The sequence below is a fragment of the Homo sapiens genome, chromosome 5 (genome assembly GCF_000001405.40).
Source record: "Homo sapiens chromosome 5, GRCh38.p14 Primary Assembly".
Classification (NCBI taxonomy): domain Eukaryota; kingdom Metazoa; phylum Chordata; class Mammalia; order Primates; family Hominidae; genus Homo; species Homo sapiens.
In genome coordinates, this window is record NC_000005.10 from 140,256,840 (window position 1) to 140,277,406 (window position 20,567).

Consider the following 20,567-nt stretch of genomic DNA (forward strand, 5'->3'; position numbering starts at 1 on the left):
TCGTCCTAGTCCAAGCCTCCATCATCTCTTGCCTGGAGGTGTGTCGTGGACACTCTCACACTGAATCAAGTTAGCCTCTGCTCAAAAAACCTCTAATGGGCCAGGCGTGGTGGCTCACACCTGTAATCCCTGCACTTCGGGAGGTTGAGGCAGGTGGATCACCTGAGGTCAGGAGTTTTGAGACCAGCCTGGACAACATGATAAAAACCCTGTCTCTACTAAAAATAAAAAAAATTAGCTGGGCATGGTGGCACACGCCTGTAATCCCAGCTACTCAGGAGGCTGAGGCAGGAGAATCGCTTGAGCCCGGGAGGTGGAGGTTGCAGTGAGCCGAGATCACGCCACTGCACTCCAGCCTGGGCAACAAGAGCAAAACTCCATCTCAAAAAAAAAAAAAAAAGCCTCTAATGGTTTCACCTCACACTTAGAAAACAAGCCAGACTCTTTAACCAAGGTGCTCAGGCTCCACATGGCCTCACTCCTGCCAACCCCTCCACTTCATTACTACTCTGTCCCCCTTTCACTTGCTTAAACAGCTCCAGCAGACTTATTTCTGTCTTAAGACAGGAATATCTCTCTGTGTAATATTTCTCTGTGACCTCCACCTGGAATGTTCTTCCTTGAGATACTTTTAGGTGGCTGTCTGCTTCTTTTCATTCACATCTTAGCTGAAATTTCACTTTTTCAGAAAGCCCTTCCCCAATTATTCAACTAAAGAAGGTCTCCAGTAACTCTCTAAAACATCACCCTTACTACATGATGGTTTCTTGTTTATTTCTTTATTGTCTGTATCTCAGTGTAAGCTCCAAAGAGTAGGGATCATGTCTGATTTGATTAATGCTATAACCCTAGCACCAAGAACTGGCACATAATTCATCTAACCAACAGGTATTGGGCACTCAGCACTCCAAAGAGCACCAACAGTAGAGAAGCGAACAAAGCACACACTTATCCCTGGAGATTATACTGTTGCAGGCCACACAGACATTTAGCTACCATTGTAATAAGGGATCTGAGGGAAACCATGGTCTTCGATGGAGGAAACATCTGATGGAATCAAGGAACTCACAGAGGGACTTGAGAACTCAGCTCTGAAGGATGAGCAGGAATTAACAAGAGGAGAGGTGAGAGTGGGGAGAGAGTAATTCCAGATAAATGGAGTCCGGCAAGTTGGGAGAACTGAATGTCAACCAGGGAGACTGAAGCACAGAGACAGAAAGGGTGAGAATACAGAGATGAGGCTGGTGAGGCTGAGTCAGATCGTGTGGGGTCTTAAGCCATATTAAAGTTCTGGAATTTATCTTGAAGGCAATGGAATGCCACTGGGTTTTAAGCAGGAGAGCAAAAGTCAAATTTCCATTAAAAACAATCTCACTCAGCTGAAGCATACAGAATGAATGAGAACAGAGCTTCCCAAAAACGTCCTATGAGTCATGAATGGGTAACAGATGTGCCCAGGATATTGATCCCTCAGTCCCTGGAGTGGCTGGGTGGTCCAGGGCAGCCAAAACCCCCCTGAGCAGTTGCCTCCAGCTTTGAGCACCTTTGTCCGGTTACCCCAGTGAATTGTGCAAATACAATTTTCTGAGAGCTGTACTGTTAAAAAAAAAAAAAAAAAAAAGCCTGGGAAGCACTGGATTAGAGAATACACGCGTGAATGTTGGAAACCTATTAGGAGGCCACTGCAATCGTCTTGGAAAGAGATGACAGTATCTTAGTGGTGACAATGGAGATGAAGAAGAGCAGATAGATTTCTGAAATATTCAGGAGGAAAATCAACAAGAGGACTTCACCACTCCCTTCATCATAACCTTCATTAGACATCAGAAGCTGAGGAGGAAGATGTCAGGAATGACTCCCAGGATGCCCAGTTGGGGCTTGCATACTGGCTTGAGGGTGCTGCCTTTCACTGAGAGAAGAAATGCAGGAGGAGGACCTGGTTTGGAAGGGAAGATTCTGAGCTTCGTTTTGGGTTTAAGGTACCTGTGAGACATCCAAATGAGATGTGAAAAACTAGATTGGCTCTGGAGTTCATGGAAGAAATCTGGGCTAGAGATATAATTTTGCATAGACGTGGTACTTGAAGTCGTGAGAATGGATGAAATTCCTAGGTAAAGAACATACAATAAGAGGACTTAGCCTTCAAGAAATTCAACATTTTAAGTCTGGAATGAAGAGCAGGAACCAGTAAATAAAACTAAAAAGGAGGGAAATGTGTGTCATAGAAACCAAAAGGAGAGTAGTTCAGGAAAAAGAATGAGGTCACTAAAAATCATTGGATATGTTCAAATAGGAAGAGTGACAACACGTCAGAAATGGTTGGGGGCTAGAAAGGGGAGCGCTACATCAAGTGGCCTGTAGGATATCTTACAACTTTAAAAAGTTGAGACCTGACCCTAACTCCATGAAGGAAAGCTAGCAGACATTTTAACTGTTACAGATGAGCCTCAAGAACATGTAATGCAGTGTCAGGACAAATAACGTTAACTCCTATCTTCAATGAGACATTGGGTTTTGTGTAGGTCCAACACAAGGGTTGTAGAAGCATCAATATAATTATGCCCAAGGAAACGATTACAGTTTCCCAATATACATTACTTTTCTTCTGTTTTGCCAACATCAAAAAGTCAAGTGCTCTTCAATAAGACGGACTAGAGGAACTGTTAAAACCCTACAAGTCTTCCAAATGAGCAAAAACAACAACAAAAAACAGTAAGTGCCAATATTTCAGTTTGTCCTCAGTTTGTCCCATTCTTACAGGAGCAAGAGATCAAATCAACAGTGTTTACAGTGGAGTTTGGCCTGTAGGCATGGTAAAGGGGTAGGTGAATAAGGGTGTGCCTGCTGAGAGAGGAAGTAAGGGTGACACCTTGCATTCTTGGAAGTGGAGGTGTAACTGACGCAACTGTGGGGTAAGATTAACATGCAGGTGTGTGTGGCTAGAGCCTAAAGTCAATCCTGATCCTGCTGTCTGCTCCAAGCAATTCCTATTTTCTTTCAGCTCCAGAATTCCTATTTTCTTTCAAGTCAACAACAACAAAGACGAACCAATTTTAAAATAAGCAAAGGATTTGTACAGGTGTTTCTTCAAAGAAGACGTATTATTGGCCAAAAAGCACATGAAAAGCTGTTCAACATTATTATCATTACAAAAATGCAAATTTAAAAAATCACAATGATAGACTATACCAACTAGGATGGCTATAATCAAAAACCGGCCAGATGCAGTGTTGCACACCTGTAATCCCAGCACTTTGGAAGGCCAACATGGGAGGATCATTTGAGCTCAGGAATTTGAAACCAGCCTGGGCAACATAGCAAGACCTCCGTCTCTACTAAAAATATAAAAACAAAAAATAAAATAAAATAAAATAAAAAACAGAAAAAAACAAGTGCTGGCAAAGATGTGGAGAAACTGGAACCCTCATATATTGCTGGTGATTTAAAATGGGGCAGCTGCTACAGAAAAGTTTGGCAGGTACTTCAATTAAAACATAAAATTACCATATGAGCCAGCTAATCCACTGTGACATACAAACAAAAACTTGTAAATGTTCATAGCAGCATTATTTACAACAGCCAAAAAGGGGAAAACAACCTAAATGTCCATCAACTGATAAATGGATAAACAAAATGTGGTACATCCATACAATGGAATATTATTCAGACATAAAAACGAGAGAAGTACTGATACATGCTATAACATGAATGAACCTTGAGACATTAAGCTAAGTGAAAGAAGCCAGACACAGAAAGCTACATACTAGATGATCCATTTATAAACACCCAAAACAGGCAAATCTGCAGAGACAGATAGAAAACAGATTCATGGTTGCCAGGTACTGAGGGAATGGGCAGTCTCACTGCTTAATAGTTAAGTTTCTTTTGGGGGCAATAAAAATGTTCTAGAATTAGACAGTGGTGATGATTATACAACATTGTGTATTTTATGTTATGTGAATTTTACCTCACTTTAAAAAATATATATATCTCCTTTTATTCTCAAAATGCTGCACCACAAGGGGAGAAGACAGGACACGGGCCGGGCACAATGGCTCATGCCTGTAATTCCAGCACTTTGGGAGGCCGAGGCAGGTAGATCACTTGAGGTCAGGAGCTGGAGACCAGCCTGGCCAACATGGTGAAACCCCGTCTCTACTAAAAATACAAAAATTAGCTGGGCCTGATGGTGCACAACTGTAATCCCAGCTACTCAGGAGGCTAAGGCAGGTGAATCGCTTGAACTCAGGAGGCGGAAGTTACAATGAGCCGAGATCACACCACTGCACTCCAGCCTGGATGACACAGTAAGACTCCATCTCAAAAAAAAAAAAAAAAAAAAGAAAGGATATTTTAAAAAAAGACAGGACATTAAATCTCTGTGTCTGAAAACAGGCATGGAAAGTAATGATTTTCACCAGCAAATCAGTCTGTACTCCACCCAAAAATTTACACATACAAACGGGTTGGGGTAAAATAAACTGCCATATTAATTGTTAAAAATTAACTTTAATGCTGTAAGCAAAAGCACTAAGCATTTAATGAGTTAATAAGGTACTGTAGTAGAGCCAATGGACAAACAAGAGTAAACTTCTATGTGATCATATCACTACTTTCCAATCAAGTAACAAATGTACACAACTAAAAAAATAGAGATACGGCAACCGGAAACCCATAAAAGGACCGGGAGACAGTGAAAACAAGCAAGAGCTCAAAGCCACGGCAGGCACAGCTACATGACTCATAGGCACCTCCTCGGCTGATTTGTATGGGTCAGCAGAGGGCAGAACTGGAGGACTACAAATATACTACAATATCAAAGGGCTATTTATAAAGCTTTCCAAAAACCTTGGCTGTCTTTTCACTAAGGAAGAGAAAAGGAAATTCATAGTGACACCTGTCAATATCACCCAAGAAAATGCTGTCCTCCAACTCAAAGTTAAACTTCTAGGTAAGACAAGCAACCCAGGATCTTTGCTCATAGCTCTCGGTGTTCTGAGGGGTATTGAGAGGTCAGGTCCACATCACCCAGTGACACTTCTCCATCCAGGGTGATGCAGGGCTCAGATCATGATGAAATCACTCTACAGAACAAACGTCACAGCCGCCCAGCTGCCACTTGTCCCCAACTCCACACCCACTAAGTTACCATAGAACTGGGGTAAACAGAGAGAATTTAATATGCTAATAGCTCTGATCTAATAGCTGACATAACACCAATTAAATTTTTAATGACACTGGAGTAATAAAAGAGCCCTTGGCATACTTCTCTTTGCAAACATGACTCAAAGGGTGGTTTTCCTTTTGCCCTTGCTTCAATTTCCAGATGCCAGGCCACTTAGAAGCCACTTATCTCTTTACTCAGAGCTGGTATTCGGGGGTTATCATTTTATAAGAAAAGGACCACAAATTTTAGAATGCCTACCTACTCAGAGTATCCAACTACAGCATAAGGAATCCCCATTTCTTTCCGAGTAAAAGTGAATGGTAAAGGGTTTGGAGTCTAGAATCTGGAATCCCAGGTTACCACTCTGATGTCCCTCTCTTTCCCTGACTGATTCTGGTTCTGGCTCCATGAAGAACACGTGACCTCCATTTCTAAATCATGGGCAGAAGCCACCAAGTTCATGAGATGGCTTCACACAGAATCCATGGCTATTAGAAAATAAGAGCAGCAGATCAAACTGACCTGCTGGCACTCGACTGTTGAGTCCACTGACCAGCCCTACCAATGGCAATGTTTGTGCTTCATATGGAATGAAAAAAACAAGTTGTTGAAAGATATAAACAACACGGTGTTACCTATTGAATACAGGATGTATATCAAACACGGAATGAAAAGATACGGACCAAATCCTTGATAGCTGTTGCTTCTGGTGAATGGGAATGAGACTGGGGAAGGTGTGGGAGGGAACACAGATGACCTCAATTTCATTAGCATCATTTGTGTAAAAAAAAAAACCAAAAAGGTAAATATTACAAAATGCTAACATTTGTTAATTCTGAATGATAAATGCACAGGTGTTTGTTAAATTAGCTTTCATACATTATTTTCCAAATTAAAAAAAAAACACCTTTTATCTTATAAGTACTTGCTGGCAATATGCTCAATCAGTAAACAGCTGATAAGCATCCACCAGAGGCAAATAATAAAATCCCGCATTAAGTATTTACTGTGTCAGGCACAGTGCTAAGTGATCTGTATTATGTTACAAGGCAGGTACTTTTCATAAGGGATAAATGTTTATCCTCACCTCCAGCTTTAATTAGTTATAGTCCCGGCCTCCTCCATCTAGTCCAGGGAAGACTGGTGGCTTTTCTGATGGGCTTGTTTGGAAGAACAAAGGGGCTCGGCCCCTTCTGCTCTGCCAGAAGCTGCTTGCTTGCAGAAGGCTCTTGTAAGTTTAACAGACAGACTCTGCCTGCCTCTGCAGAGAAAGACCTGTGGTTGTCCCACACTTATAGAGATTTGCAGGGTAAGTTCATCTATCTGTATGCCTAAATCTGGATCAATATTAAAAACCCATGACTGCTGCATACCAAAGCCACATCCTTCAACCTAATCTTTACTAATATTAAAGGTAAAATATATAAAAAGATGGAATTTTTATATCCATCTGTCTTTCAATTGGTTCCACTCTTGGGCCAGAAATAAAAGTTACTTATTGTCTCCCTTCATCCTAACACTTGCTTTTGCCATTTTACGGACGAGTGTATTTAGGCTTAAAAACACCGTATCAGTCTATTTTTGCATTACTATAAAGGAATACCTGACACTGGGTAATTTATAAAGAAAAGAAGTTTAATTGGCTCACGGTTCCACAGGCTGTACAGGCATAGCACCAACATCTGCTCAGTGTCTGGTGAGGACCTCAGGAGGCTTACAATCATGGTAGAAGGAGCCGGGCGTGGTGGCTCATGCCTGTAATCCCAGCACTTTGGGAGGCTGAGGTGGGCAGATCACGAGGTCAGGAGATCGAGACCATCCTGACTAACACAGTGAAACCCCGTCTCTACTAAAAATACAAAAAATTAGCCCGGTGTGGTGGCGGGCGCCTGTAGTCCCAGCTACTCAGGAGGCTGAAGCAGGAGAATGGCGTGAACCCGGGAGGTGGAGCTTGCAGTGAGCCGAGATTGCGCCACTGCACTCCAGCCTGGGGGTCAGAGTGAGACTCCATCTCAAAAAAAAAAAAAAAAAAAAAAAAAAAAAAAAAAAAAAATCACGGTAGAAGGCAATGGGGAGCCAGCACGTCACATGGTGAAAGCGAGGCAAAAGAGAGTGAGTGGGAAGTTCCAGACATTTAAACAACCAGATTTTGAGTGAACTGAACTGAGAACTCACTCATCACCAAGGGGATTGTGCTATGCCATTCATGAGGGATCTGCCCTCATGATCCAATCACCTCCCACCAGACCCCACCTCCAACACTGGGGATCACATTTCAACATGAGATTTGGAGGAGACAAACATCCAAACCATACCAAACACTAAGTATGTCATTTATCCAAGATGATATTAAGTGGCAGTCAGGGTTCAAATTCATATTCATCTAATTCCAGAGTTCATATTCTTAATTACTATGCCAAGGCATTATGCTATGCATATCAGAGCAAAGACAAGCAGTATCTTTTACTTGCTAAGAATCTTAAAGATGAACTTAAAAAATATTCTAAGGGTTGAAGCTTTTCTTAGTATATATTTGAATCTCACAGAGGGGACTAGGCATGGTGGGTCATGCCTGTAATCCCAACACTTTGGGAGGCTGAAGTGGGAGGACTGCTCAAGGCCAAGTTTGAGACCAGCCTGGGCAACATAGGGAGACCCTGTCTTTACAAAAAAAAAAACACAGAATTAATTATCTGAGCATGGTAGCCTGTGCCTATAGTCTCAGCTACTGAGGAGACTGAAGTAGGAGGAACACCTGAGCCCAGGAGTTCCAGGCTGCACTGAGCTATGATCACGCCACTGCACTCCAGCCTGGGTGACAAAGCAAAAGCTCATCTCCAAAAAATAAAATAAAATTTAAAATTCATTTTAAAGAGGGTAGCAATGTGTGTGTACATAATATGTGAGTATATATAGGGAACAGTAAAGGTATTAACATAAAATCCTCTTAGGGACTTTTTAACCTTCAAAACTAGTTCAAAACTCGCAGGCATCTTTGCTTCTGCCCATGTTAGTACCCACCTCCCTCAAATTTTACTCAGGATTCCACAGATCCATGGCAGACCTTTTATCTGCTATACTTTAAAAGGACTGTGTTCGGGCATCCCCTCCCTGCAGTGTTGTCCACATACAGAGCACTTGCGACTCAGGTCTAACAGAACTGACCACTTCTGCTGCCAGCCTCTGCTTGGACAGCCCATGAAAAAGCAGTCCCCTTACCACCAAGGGAGTTGAGAGCAACCCTTCAGCCTGGCCCTGTATCAGCAGAGGGTTGCCCATGTGGGTATTCACTTGGTTATTTGGACTCAAAATGGACGCCGTCCACACCTCTGTGGTCCTGCTACAGTGACCCAGGGCTCAGTCCACAAACCCTGTCCCTTCTCCAGCTATACTTTTCCCTTAGTTGACCCAAGCTAGTTCTATGACTTGAAACGCCATCTATAAACTGGCAATTTGTAGACAATTCTCCATTTTATTTCGCTAGTCCAGAGTTCCAGATTCATATATCCAACTGTCTATTCAACATCTCTACTTGGGTGTCTAATAGTAATCTCAAAGGTAAAGGCCCAAACCAAACTTTCAGTTTCCTTTTAAAATTAGTTTTGGGGGAAAAAAAAATTTAGTTTCAAAACTTGAAAACTGACTAGGAAACATTGATCTATGAATAAGCAGTAGCACATTTGTTCCTATAAACCTGCAGCAGGACCTGGAATGTCTGCAGCAGGACGATCCCTCTGTGGAGCCCAGGACATACGGAATGCTGAGTAGAAACCACACTGAATGAATAGCATTGGGACTTAGAACAGCTACTTGCACAGAACAAGCAGTACTTAGAAAAAGTGAGTAGAAGCAATGCTAATTTCATTCACTTTAATTCCTTTCCCTTAGATCTTTCCAGCCTCACTTCCCACTCACTCACTTCCCAATGGAGGGTTACACCACTGCAACCACCACTCCACTTCCAGACTTTTGTCCACACTATTCCTTGATTTGAAATGCCCTCTCCTCTGCCCTAGCCCCACCTAGCAAACTTCTAGCTGACCTTCAAAGCCCAGGTGAAATGCCCGCCCCTCTCCCATGAACCCATTCCAGATCTCTTGTGGAGAATGAGTGACATATGGGGAAGGAAGAGGAAGAAGACAGGGAGGATTTGGGCCTTAATCACAGGCCCAAAACTTCAGTTTTTCCAACTCTCTTCTTTTACTCCTATACCCAGTCACCTTGGTTCTACCTTAAAATACATCCAGAGTCTGATCACCTCCACTGTCACCATCCTGGTCCAACCTACCATCATCTCTCACCTGGATAATGCAGCAGCCTATCATTAAACTAGGGAGTAACACTGGTTTGTGACTTGAGAAATATCTAAAAGCAGGCATTTCAAAGCCTGCAATGTCTAACTGCTCAGATCCCAAAGCTATGGGTAAATACGTCAATCTTCACTAATGTATGCTTTCCCAAGATATTTGCATGGCACCTCCCCACAACAAACCCCCAGGATCTCTAATAAAAACAATCCTTTTTTACCTGTGGTATTAAAGTAATCAGGTTTAGACACCCACCCCCTTCCCCAAAATAAGAACTGCAAAGGAAAGGGTTTTGGATGAGATTTCAGACTACGAAAATCAATAAACTTCAGAATACAAAAATCAATAAGCCCTCAGGTGAGTCAACACAGAATGTGGAACACACACACACACCTAAAAATTTGCTCCTAGTTTTCACACATTCCACCACTAGAAAACTGTACACAGCAAGGGATAGGAAAGGCATTTAAATCATTCCTTCAGTGATCATCAACAGCTTTACAAGCAAGTACTAGACTGCTGTCTCTATAGAGAGCTGCTTCTATTATTATGAAGAAGTTAAGGCACAGAGAGGACAAGAGTCAAATCAAAGCAGAGCTTTATGCTGCAGTGTGGGTTACAGTTACATGCAGGTGTACTGGAATCACACATGCTGCGGTGTGGGTTAAAGTTAAATGCAGGTGTACTGGAATCACACATGCTGCAGTGTGGGTTAAAGTTAAATGCAGGTGTACTGGAATCACACTTGCTGCGGTGCGGGTTACAGTTACATGCAGGTGTACTGGAATCACACATGCTGCGGTGTAGGTTACAGTTACATGCAGGTGCACTGGAATCACACATGCTGCGGTGTGGGTTACAGTTAAATGCAGGTGCACTGGAATCACACATGCGGTTATATTTTATCAAACCACCTGACTCTGAACACTGAGTTAGGGGAGAATAGTAAATAGAAAGATTCTTATTCACACACTAACTCCCCCACTTCTAACCACCACACTCACTCTCCCTCTCTTAAAAGCTAAATGCACATTTCCATTGTCAAAAGCCACATTTAAAGATCAGCAGAAGACCACAGTTGCCTGGTTAATCTCTAGCACAACCGCTGAATCCGAGCATGCTCTTTCAGCCCCCAGGCTCTGGCTCCACACTAAGGGAATGTGGGTACCTGAGCCCTGTGGGGTTTGAGAAAAGGGAGAGCTCAAACAATGCTCTCATGAGCACTTTAAACAAAAAATCCATTCAATGAGAATGGCACCATGTTCTTTTTGCCCTTTCTCCCCAGGAACTAAATTAAACAGATTACAGACAGTAGCCAGGGCTGGCCTTAGAACCACCTCCCGCTTATTTGTTATTTTTAGCAATTCAGTCCGACAACGCCCGACAACTAAACAGGCCTAGAATAGCTAAAGGGACGGGGGATTATCAAATACTACCAGCAAAAAAAAAACGCTAGTCATCACTTCCTCCAACCCTAAGAAAGAATCATTTTCCGTGTCTTTATAGCATCACAGAGTTTGAGCCTTTAGAGTTTCATATAAAAACAGACTATGTATAAAACATCAGTGGAAACTGATAACGTTTCCTGACCTGGAAGTATTGTTCCACCCCTACATGTGTTTTCTTAAAAACAAAAGCAGAGTCAAACGAACTAAATTGTTTTACACAAAGGTTAGGAATACAATGCATCTGTGTCCATTCTGGAAAAACTTCCTCACAAGATGACTATGTAACCAAAAGAATAGCTTCGTGAATAGTGATGGAATTCAAATATTTCGATTATGCTGGCAGCAGGTAAGAGACTGAAAGCAAGACAAAGTGAGCTGGGAGAAACCTCAAATTAGACATAATTAGCAAAACAGCATTGTCCCTAGTCATTCTATTTATAAATGAAGTAATATGCAAAAATCATTTGAAAAATGAATAAAACGGTAAGATAAAAATGGTAAAAGCCCTATGAAAATGGTGTAACTGTTTGCATCAGCAGATAAACTAAAATTCACAAAAAAAGTTATTAAAATAAATAAGATACAATTCATTAAAAAGTTCATAAACGGGATGGGCACAGTGGCTCACACCTGTAATCCCAGCACTTTGGGAGGCCAAGGTGGACCGCTTGAGGCCAGGAGTTCAAGATCAGCCTGGCCAACGTGGTGAAACCCCATCTCTACTAAAATACAAAAATTAGCCGGTTATGGTGGCGCACCCTGTAATCCCAGCTACTCGGGAGGCTGAGGCAGGAAATCTTTTGAATCTGGGAGTCAGAGGCTGCAGTGAGCCAAGAATGCACCACTGCACTCCAGCCTGGGTGACAGAGTAAGACTCCATCTCAACAACAACAACAAAAAAAAGTTCATAAATACTCAAGGAATCTAAACACAGGAACATGCATGCTACTATTCTAAGTATCATATATTTTATAAGACAGGATAAAGCACTATAAATGAATAAAGTGATGTCTTCCTGGGTATGTCAATTACATATGTGGAGTTAAACTATTCAGCTCTATCTGAAAATATATTTCTAAAACAAGGTGATGCCTAATGTAGTTTACCTTTAAGCCATTACATGGACATCTCTGTGATTTAAATGACTGCAAAGATATCAAAGGAGATGCCATCACCTTGAATTACATTTTAGATATAGGTAGACAACTAGCTTCATTTTAGCTTCAAAATAGGATTCCAATTAACTTTTTATTTTTTATGTATTTTTTGAGATGGGGGGCTCGCTCTGTCACCCAGGCTGGAGTACAGTGGTGCTATCAAGGCTCACTGCAGCCTCAATCACCTGGGCTCAAGCAATCCTCCCACCTCAGCCTCTGCAGTAGCTGGGACCACAGGCATGCACCACCATGCCCAGATAGTTTTTTAATTATTTGTAGAGATGAGGTCTCACTTTGTTGCCCAGGCTGGTCTCGAACTCCAGGGCTCAAAAGATCTGCCTGCCTCAGACTCCCAAAGTGCTGGGATTATAGGCATGAGCCACAGCACCCAGCCTTATAACTTTTTTTTTTTTTTTTGAGATGGAGCTTCGCTCTTATTGCCCAGGCTGGAGTGCAATGGCATGATCTCTGCTCACCGCAACCTCCATCTCCCGGGTTCAAGCGATTCTCCTGCCTCAGCCTCCCCAGTAGCTGGGATTACAGGCATGCGCCACCACGCCCGGCTAATTTTGTATTTTTAGTAGAGATGGGGGTCTCTCCATGTTGGTCAGGCTGGTCTCGAACTCCTGACCTCAGATCATCTGCCCGCCTTGGCCTCCCAAAATGCTGGGATTATAGGCGTGAGCCACCGTGACCCGCCTTTAACTTTTTAAATTAAGACAATGATCTGGACAAAGGAAATTGTTTTTGTTTTGTTTTGCTTTCCTCCATCTTTTCATTTTAAGGGGGCATTTTTGCTCCTAAAATGGAAACTCAGAAAAAGACCAAGGTTATAACAATAAACTTAATAGAAGTGACTGGAGTGACCCTAGAGATCTTCTAATCCAATATTCTCATTTTATGTGAGGAAACTGAGGCTTAGCGTACAGCAAGAGTTAGAATGAAGAACTCCTAAATTAACATAAGGCTTTTAAAATTAGGAATTTAGGGTAATGAACGCTCTGTTGTAAATCTAGTAGACTTGGAAATTTCTATTTATGGCTGAAATGTCAACCTTTCTTTGGATCTTTTTCTGAGCTGATGTGTAGCATGCTTATTAATAAAGGTGTGGCCTTCCCCACATGAAGTATTGAACTTGCTTTTTATGGCTAGTATCTATTACCTCAGGTTGGAGGACACCTGTGATGTAAGAACAGAAACTGATCAGAGTAAGAATCTAGGATAAGGATTCTTGGCAAGGAAGTATGTAATGACATGAAAGAAAATCCAAAGTCTAACTCATTAAAAGAAATCATTCTCTAGGCAGCCTGAAAATGATTTGAGGAATCCAGGCATGGGAGGGTGGAGACTAAGGACATATGGTTAGACAGAGAAGAGTATAGACCATATAAAGCATGTAACAATGAAGGCTGAGGTCAACAACTCCCTAAAGCATTCAAAGGGATAGTTGGGTATGGGGACAGATAAGTATTCCAAGGAGAGCAACAAGGCACCCAATGTATCCAAGAAGAAAATAATAACTGAAACAAGATGCAAAAAGCTGAACTCTGGGCTAATTGGAATGCAAATCCAATTATCTTAAGTCTCTTATCTTAATCATAAAATGAAGATGCGCCACCAGGAAACAGATCAAATCAAGGGTATATCAATGTGTGTGTTAAATATCTGTAATATATATTTCAAGATAAATAAGGAAGGCTATCCAATTAAAAGAACCAATCTATGGGCCAGGCACGATGGCTTATGCCTGTAATCCCAGCACTTTGGGAGGCCGAGGCGGGCGGATAACGGGGTCAGGAGATCAAGACCATCCTGGCTAACATGGTGAAACCCTGTCTCTTCTAAAAATACAAAAAAATTAGCCGGGCGTGGTGGCGGGCGCCTGTAGTCCCAGCTACTTGGGAGGCTGAGGTAGGAGAATGGTGTGAACCTGGGAGGTGGAGCTTGCAGTGAGCCAAGATTGCGCCACTGCACTCCAGCCTGGGTGACAGAGCAAGACTCCGTCTCAAAAAAAAAGAACCAATCTATTTGAACTGCTTACATCTAAGTTCTCATTGGATCTACAATACTTCTATGAAGGAAATAAAATGCATCACAGATGCTTTATATTTGGGCAAATTTTAGCACTTGGATCATAACATATACAATGAACAAGGCATTGACAATATTAATAAGAAAAAATGCTCAAACAGAAAAAGAGCATATATGGTGGGCTTTTTCAGACCTATACCAACTCTTCTCTGAAAGCCACAAAGGAGGATTCTGCAGCTACATTAAGCCCTAAGACATCAGGACATAGAGACTATATATATAGTTCATGATAAACTCTGGGGTTTCCAACCAGCAGGCTCTCTTAGACTGAAGTCCTAAATAACCGAAAACTATTTTAAAACAAACATACATTTTTATAAATGTTAAGAATGCAAATGAGCTCTATAAAGAGATAAGTACTCATGTTTGAAATCCCAATATATGCACAATAAGAGAAATCACTTCACCCAAGACTCTCCAAGTCAAAACAACGTAGGAAAGAGATTAATTTTACATCTTGCATTGATTTCTAAGATAAAAATTTTAAAAAGACATCCATAAGTGTCTAGCTATCTAGCTACTATGGAAAGTAGGAAATCATCAAGCTAATTTTAATCATCAGGAGTGTAAACGTTTTATACTTCTTCCCAGGATGCAAGCTCTCCTGGAGTGTGGGTGGAGGGTGGTTTCTGAAAATTATCTTAGCAAGATGCTAAGATAAACTGTAAAAATACTCCATGAGAATACCTTCACTTGTTAAGAATAAAAATGGACTGTCTAGATAGATAAATTGTGGTACTTCTATATGACGGGATACTATGCAGCAATGAAATGAACAACTCACAATCTCAAGAGATAACACAGATATACTTCACAAACACAACGTGGAGAGAAAGAAGTGAGGCAAAAAAATAGTGATTTTGTTCATGTAAAGTTCAGAAACAAGCTAAACTAAATTATATATATACACACACATATATATACATAAAATACATATATACATAATATATATATTTATATACATAAGATATATATTTATATACATAAGATATATTTATACACATAAAATATATTTGTTGTTGTCTTTTGAGATGGAGTCTCACTGTGACGCCCAGGCCGGAGTGCAATAGCGTAATCTTGGCTCACTGCAACCTCCACCACCAGGGTTCAAGCGATTCTCCTGCCCCAGCCTCCCGAGTAGCTGGGGCTACAGACGCGTGCCACCAGGCCCAGCTAATTTTTGTATTTTTAGTAGAGACAGGATTTCACCATATTGGCCAGGCTGGCCTTGAACTCCTGACCTCAGGTGATCTGCCCGCCTCAGCCTCCCAAAGTGCTGGGATTACAGGCGTGAGCCACCACGCCCAGCCTAAATTATATTATTTTAGAGATACATCCATAGGTGGTAAAACCATTTTTTTTTTTTTTTGAGACAGAGTCTTGCTCTGTCACCCAGGCTGGAGTGCAGTGGCATGATCTCGGCTCACTGCAACCTCCACCTCCCGGGTTCAAGCAATTCTCGGCCTCAGCCTCCCAAGTAGCTAGGATTACAGGCGCCCACCACCACGCCCGGCTAATTTTTGTAGTTTTAGTAGAGACGGGGTTTCACCATCTTGGCCAGGCTGGTCTTGAACTCCTGACCTCATGATCTACCCGCCTCAGCCTCCCAAAGTGCTGGGATTACAGGCATGAGCCACCATGCCCGGCTGTAAAACTGTATTTTTGAAAAAGGAAATAATTATCACAAAAGTTAGGGAAGTAGTTACTTGATGGGAGAGGCAGGCAGGGATGGCACATGATTAGGCAGTGATAAACAACAAGGAGGGTTCTGGTTTCCTGACAACATTTGATTTACTGGCCTGGATAACTGACGTGTTTGCTTTATAATGATTAAGCTATAAATGTTATTTAACACATTTCTTAAATGCTACATTTCAATAAAAAATTAATGACTAAATTTTTAATGGATTATAAACTTAGAGCTATGCAAGCAGATGAACTGCTGGGCATATGTCTTGTTTAATGTTTTAAAAACATTCTATCATTGGCTCTGCTATCCCCTGCCCTCCTTTCTTCATTGAAAAACAGAGGTAAGACCAAGTCTGGCCAATATGGTGAAACCCCATCTCTACTAATGATACAAAAATTAGCCGGGCATGGTGGCATGCACCTGTAGTCCCAGCTACTCAGGAGGTTGAGGCAGAAGAATCGCTTGAACCCAGGAGGCGGAGGTTGCAGTGAGCCGAGATCGTGCCACTGCACTCTAGCCTGGGCAACAGAGCAAGACTCCATCTCAAAAAAAAAAAAAAAAAGAGAAAAACAGAGGTAAGAATCAGTGACTATCATACAGTAGAGTCCACCTGACATCACCTCCAAATGGGGGCTCCTATTATATACACCAATAGTACCAGCTCAAAAATGCAGTACTTAGGGCAAAACTGGACATCCATCCAAGTGCCTACCAGTCACCACCCATGCGATGGAAAAAATGATTCTCAACAGGCAGAGTAAAATTTCCTCAATCATGGGAATCCCTCCAAAGCATGTTCTCATCAGAGTATCAAACCTAAGCCAACTGCAGAGTGTCACAGGCACCTCCTATCCTGTTCTCTCGCCGCCATTCTTCCTATTTATTTCAGGAACCACTGTCTGACCAAAACTGTCATTTTTGTGGAAGAGTTGGGACTTTAAACGTCAAGACTTTAACAGTTTTTTTTTTTTACATATGATATGGGCTGGGGAGTTATTTCAACAGCCCTGGGATTGCAACATTCTGCATCAGAAGTGGCGCTAAGCACGCCAGACTGTCCTAGGTTTCCTTATTCTTATTCTGTTATTGCTGAGCTAACCAGGGTGGTGAAAGGGGTGGTAACCATGTTGGAGACAGAGGGGAAGGAAGCTGGTGAACCTGTATATGCATGTGCCTAAAATATAACAGACTTTAGGTTGAAGGCTGACTTTAGGTTGAAGCAGTAACTGGCCTCCACCTGGAACAAAAAAAACATAAGGCAATGGTGGCAAAAATGTGTTCAAATGTATCATTGAAAGTTTACATTTACCTCAAGGATTCCTAATAGTTGAGATTCAGAAGGTCAGGAGCTCATCTCTAGATCATCTGAATGCTGACTTAAATTTTCCTAACTGCAAAAGAGGCCCATTAATTATTTCCTGCTTACCTCCAAAAAAGTTAGCAAAACCAGAGGATGAATTTCCCACTCTTTAGAAGATATAGATCTCAATCTATCAACAGTTTTAACTCAACTTTAAAACTGAATTTTGTCAAAAAAGACTTCTACTTTCTCTTAGTACCAATGTTATACATTATAAAAAGAAAATTATTTTACAAAGACAAATGAGACATGTCATAATTCCAAATCACAGTTGTAATCATGCTATTTTCTAAAATTATGCTTGGGTACTTTTCAAATAACAACAAATACTGTATTAGGTATTATGCACTCAGTACCTTCTTTAGAAAGTTATTATCAGTATTTTTTAAAAATAGAAAATTTCCTCAAAAAATGACAAAAATAACATGGTTACTCTATCATACTAAAGCCACGATTTTGTATTTTCTCGTGAATAGGATCAGCATCACTGGTCTACTAATCACAGTTAGGATGTATTCTCTTCCAGAATTTGATCTATCACCTTTATAACGAAAGATTAAATCTACATAAACCGTGAGTCTGTTATGAAAATACTTCCCAATTAATCCCATTACAGTGATGATGGCCTGAAGAACAGTCTAACATAGGGGTATTAAAATGTAAAAAGAGGCAGAGCACAGCGGCTCACGCTTGTAATCCTAGCACTTTAGGAGGCTGAGGCAGGTGGATCACCCAGGAGTTCAAGACCAGCCTGGCCAACATGGTGAAACACAGTCTCTACTAAAAATACAAAAATTAGCCCAGGCACCTGTAATCCCAGCTACTTGGGAGGCTGAGGCAGGGGAATCACTTAAACCTGGGACATGGAGATTGCAGTGAGCCGAGATTGTGATACTGCACCCCAGCCTGGGTAACAAAGCAAGACTTCATCTCAAAAAAAAAAAAAAAAAAGTAAAAGGAAGTTCTTTTGTTTTCTTTATTCTTTGTACAATTCATAGGTTCAACAAAGAAGTTCTAAGGAAAAAAAAGACAGTAAGACTATCTTCCCACCATTAAGACACTGCTTGTGCCAGGCGCGGTGGCTCACACCTGTAATCCCAGCACTTTGGGAGGCCAAGGCAGGCAGATCACGAGGTCAGAAGATTGAGACCATCCTGGCTAACACGGTGAAACCCTGTCTCACTAAAAATACAAAAAAAATTAGCTGGGCATGGCGGGGTGTGCCTGTAGTCCCAGCTACTCGGGAGGCTGAAGCAGGAGAATGGTGTGAACCTGGGAGGCGGAGCCTGCAGTGAGCCGAGATTGCGCCACTGCACTCCAGCCTGGGAGACAGAACGAGACTCTGTCTCAAAAAAAAAAAAAAAAGACAGTGCTTGTGTTTATTCTGCTAATAAGGAATATGACTCCCTATCAAGATTAACATGAGGGCAAGTAGTACCCCCACCCCTGCCTATAAGAGACAAGGGCCAGTAGATGAGGCCACTTGGCTGGCTGATGACATAGGGCACAACATGACAAAGCTACAAAAAGCTAAACAAAGTCTAGGTAAGCTTTGCACTCATAAATAAGATCAGAAAAAAGAAATCAGGAGAGGGCAAGTATAAAGAAACAGAAAGAACAAAGCTGGGTAAAAGGGAACCTAGCAAATACTAATGAAAATGGGGTATCAGGTTAGAGAACCTGAATCAGACCAGCACCTATGTCATGGAAAAGGTTTGTCCCTCCTGCCATCTACACAAACTGTGGGTAGAGGGTGGGGAAGCATACTCGGTGGGCCAAATCAGTAAAACAAGTTAACAGCTTTTATCAAAAACTGGAACTCTGACCCCAACCAATATGAACCTTACTCTTTCAGAGATGAAAACATGATAAATAGAAATAGCATGGCCTTTGTCTACAGAGTTGGGTATAAATTGTGCCTCCCCAACTTAATACAGGGTATCTCAGAAGAGAAATTGATGATGATGATGATGATGATGATGATGATGATGATGATGATGATAATTACAGAGGATTAAAATGAAGTAGATTAGACTGACAAGAAATACTAGGTCTAGAAGAAGAGACTGCAGATTTGAAAACAGGAGCAACACCAAGGACTTGGGGAAAATCATTTAGAGCTCTAAATCTGTATCAAGCTTCCAAAGTAATAGGAAACCATATTTATGATTTACTCAACTGGTGAGAGTTTATATTTCCAAATCCCTACAATGTGCTAAGAAACTAACAGAGTAACCAGAGAACACAAGAAAGAAGCAGCTAACTTAAGACTGAGGAATCAGAAAATGGTTCTCAGGAGAAGTAATTCTATGCTAAGATCTGAAGGATTAGTAGATGGAATTGATAAAGGCAGAGGGAGGAAGTTCCCAAGTGGAGATAACTACTTTTCGAAGATCTAGCAGAATGAAAAAAGAGCAAGCTCCAAAGACTGAGAGTATTGGCCAAGTGTGGTGGCTCATGCCTGTAATCCCAGCACTCTGGGAGGCAGAGGTGGGTGGATCATCTGAGGTCAGGAGTTCAAGACCAGTCTGGCCAACATGCAAAACCCTGTCTCTACTAAAAATACAAAAATTAGCTGGGCGTGGTGGCACACACCTGTAATCCCAGAAGGGATCTCCTGCTGAGGCAGGAGAATTGTTCCAACCCAGGAGGCAGAGGTTGCTGTGAGCCAAGATAGCGCCACTGCACTCCAACCTGGGTGACAGAGTGAGACACCGTCTCAAAAAAAAAAAAAAAAAAAAAAAAAGACTGAGAGTATTTTTGCATGGCTAAAGCATACAGTATAACAGAAGGCAGAGGAAATGAGAGGGATGAGAGAAATAAACAGAAATCATATCTTTAAAGGCCTTCAAGGTATGTTAAAAAGTTTGAACTGGTTGGGCACAGTGGCTCACTCACACCTATAATCCTAGCACTTTGGGAGGCCAAGGCGGGCAGATCACCCGAGGTCAGGAGTTCGAGACCAGGCTGGCCAAAATGTTGAAACCCCGTCTCTACTAAAAATACAAAAAAATTAGCTGGGCATAGTGGCACATGCCTGTAGTCCCAGCTACTCAGGAGGCTGAGGCAGGCAGGAGAATCACTTGTACCCAGGAGGTGGAGGTTGCAGTGAGCCAAGATCATGCCATTGCACTACAGCCTGGGCAACAAGATCAAAACTCCGTCTCAAAAAAAAAAAAAAAGTTTGAACTTAACCCTAAGAACAACTATTGGTTTTACATGAGAGAGTAATATGATCAGATTTAACATTTTAGAAAGGTCATTCTAACTTAAATATGTTATAAAAAGAACTGAACGAGAGAAGGCTGGATATGGTAAAATCAGTTAATATCCTACTGCAGATGGTG

The 20,567-nt window shown here is 41.6% G+C and overlaps 1 protein-coding gene across 2 annotated transcripts in view, besides 3 other annotated features; it reads right to left on the reverse strand.

The window, feature by feature from the left end:
• PFDN1 (prefoldin subunit 1) overlaps nt 1-20,567 on the reverse strand; it is a 58,067-nt gene that overhangs the window by 11,805 nt on the left and 25,695 nt on the right. Inside the window, exon 4 of one of the 2 annotated variants that reach the window (XM_005268465.5) lies at nt 12,831-17,097. The exons of the other annotated variant lie outside the window; for it this stretch is intronic. Coding sequence (XP_005268522.1) covers nt 17,035-17,097 — 63 coding nt within the window. The 3' untranslated portion in view covers nt 12,831-17,034. Of the gene's footprint in view, nt 1-12,830; nt 17,098-20,567 lie in introns of those variants that run through there. 2 annotated transcript variants of the gene reach the window in all.
• Nucleotides 2,416-3,615: an enhancer, noted in NCBI's record as "MED14-independent group 3 enhancer chr5:139638840-139640039 (GRCh37/hg19 assembly coordinates)". NCBI's record gives its function as "activates an origin of replication core promoter dependent on BRD2, BRD4, P300/CBP and CDK7 cofactors, and independent of MED14, by STARR-seq in HCT116 cells {active_cell/tissue: HCT116}" and the evidence as "EXISTENCE:reporter gene assay evidence [ECO:0000049][PMID:35650434]".
• Nucleotides 18,004-18,504: an enhancer, noted in NCBI's record as "H3K4me1 hESC enhancer chr5:139654428-139654928 (GRCh37/hg19 assembly coordinates)". NCBI's record gives its function as "activates a minimal SCP1, AML or CMV promoter by ChIP-STARR-seq in naive H9 embryonic stem cells {active_cell/tissue: H9 hESC(naive)}" and the evidence as "EXISTENCE:reporter gene assay evidence [ECO:0000049][PMID:30033119]".
• Nucleotides 18,505-19,005: an enhancer, noted in NCBI's record as "H3K4me1 hESC enhancer chr5:139654929-139655429 (GRCh37/hg19 assembly coordinates)". NCBI's record gives its function as "activates a minimal SCP1, AML or CMV promoter by ChIP-STARR-seq in naive H9 embryonic stem cells {active_cell/tissue: H9 hESC(naive)}" and the evidence as "EXISTENCE:reporter gene assay evidence [ECO:0000049][PMID:30033119]".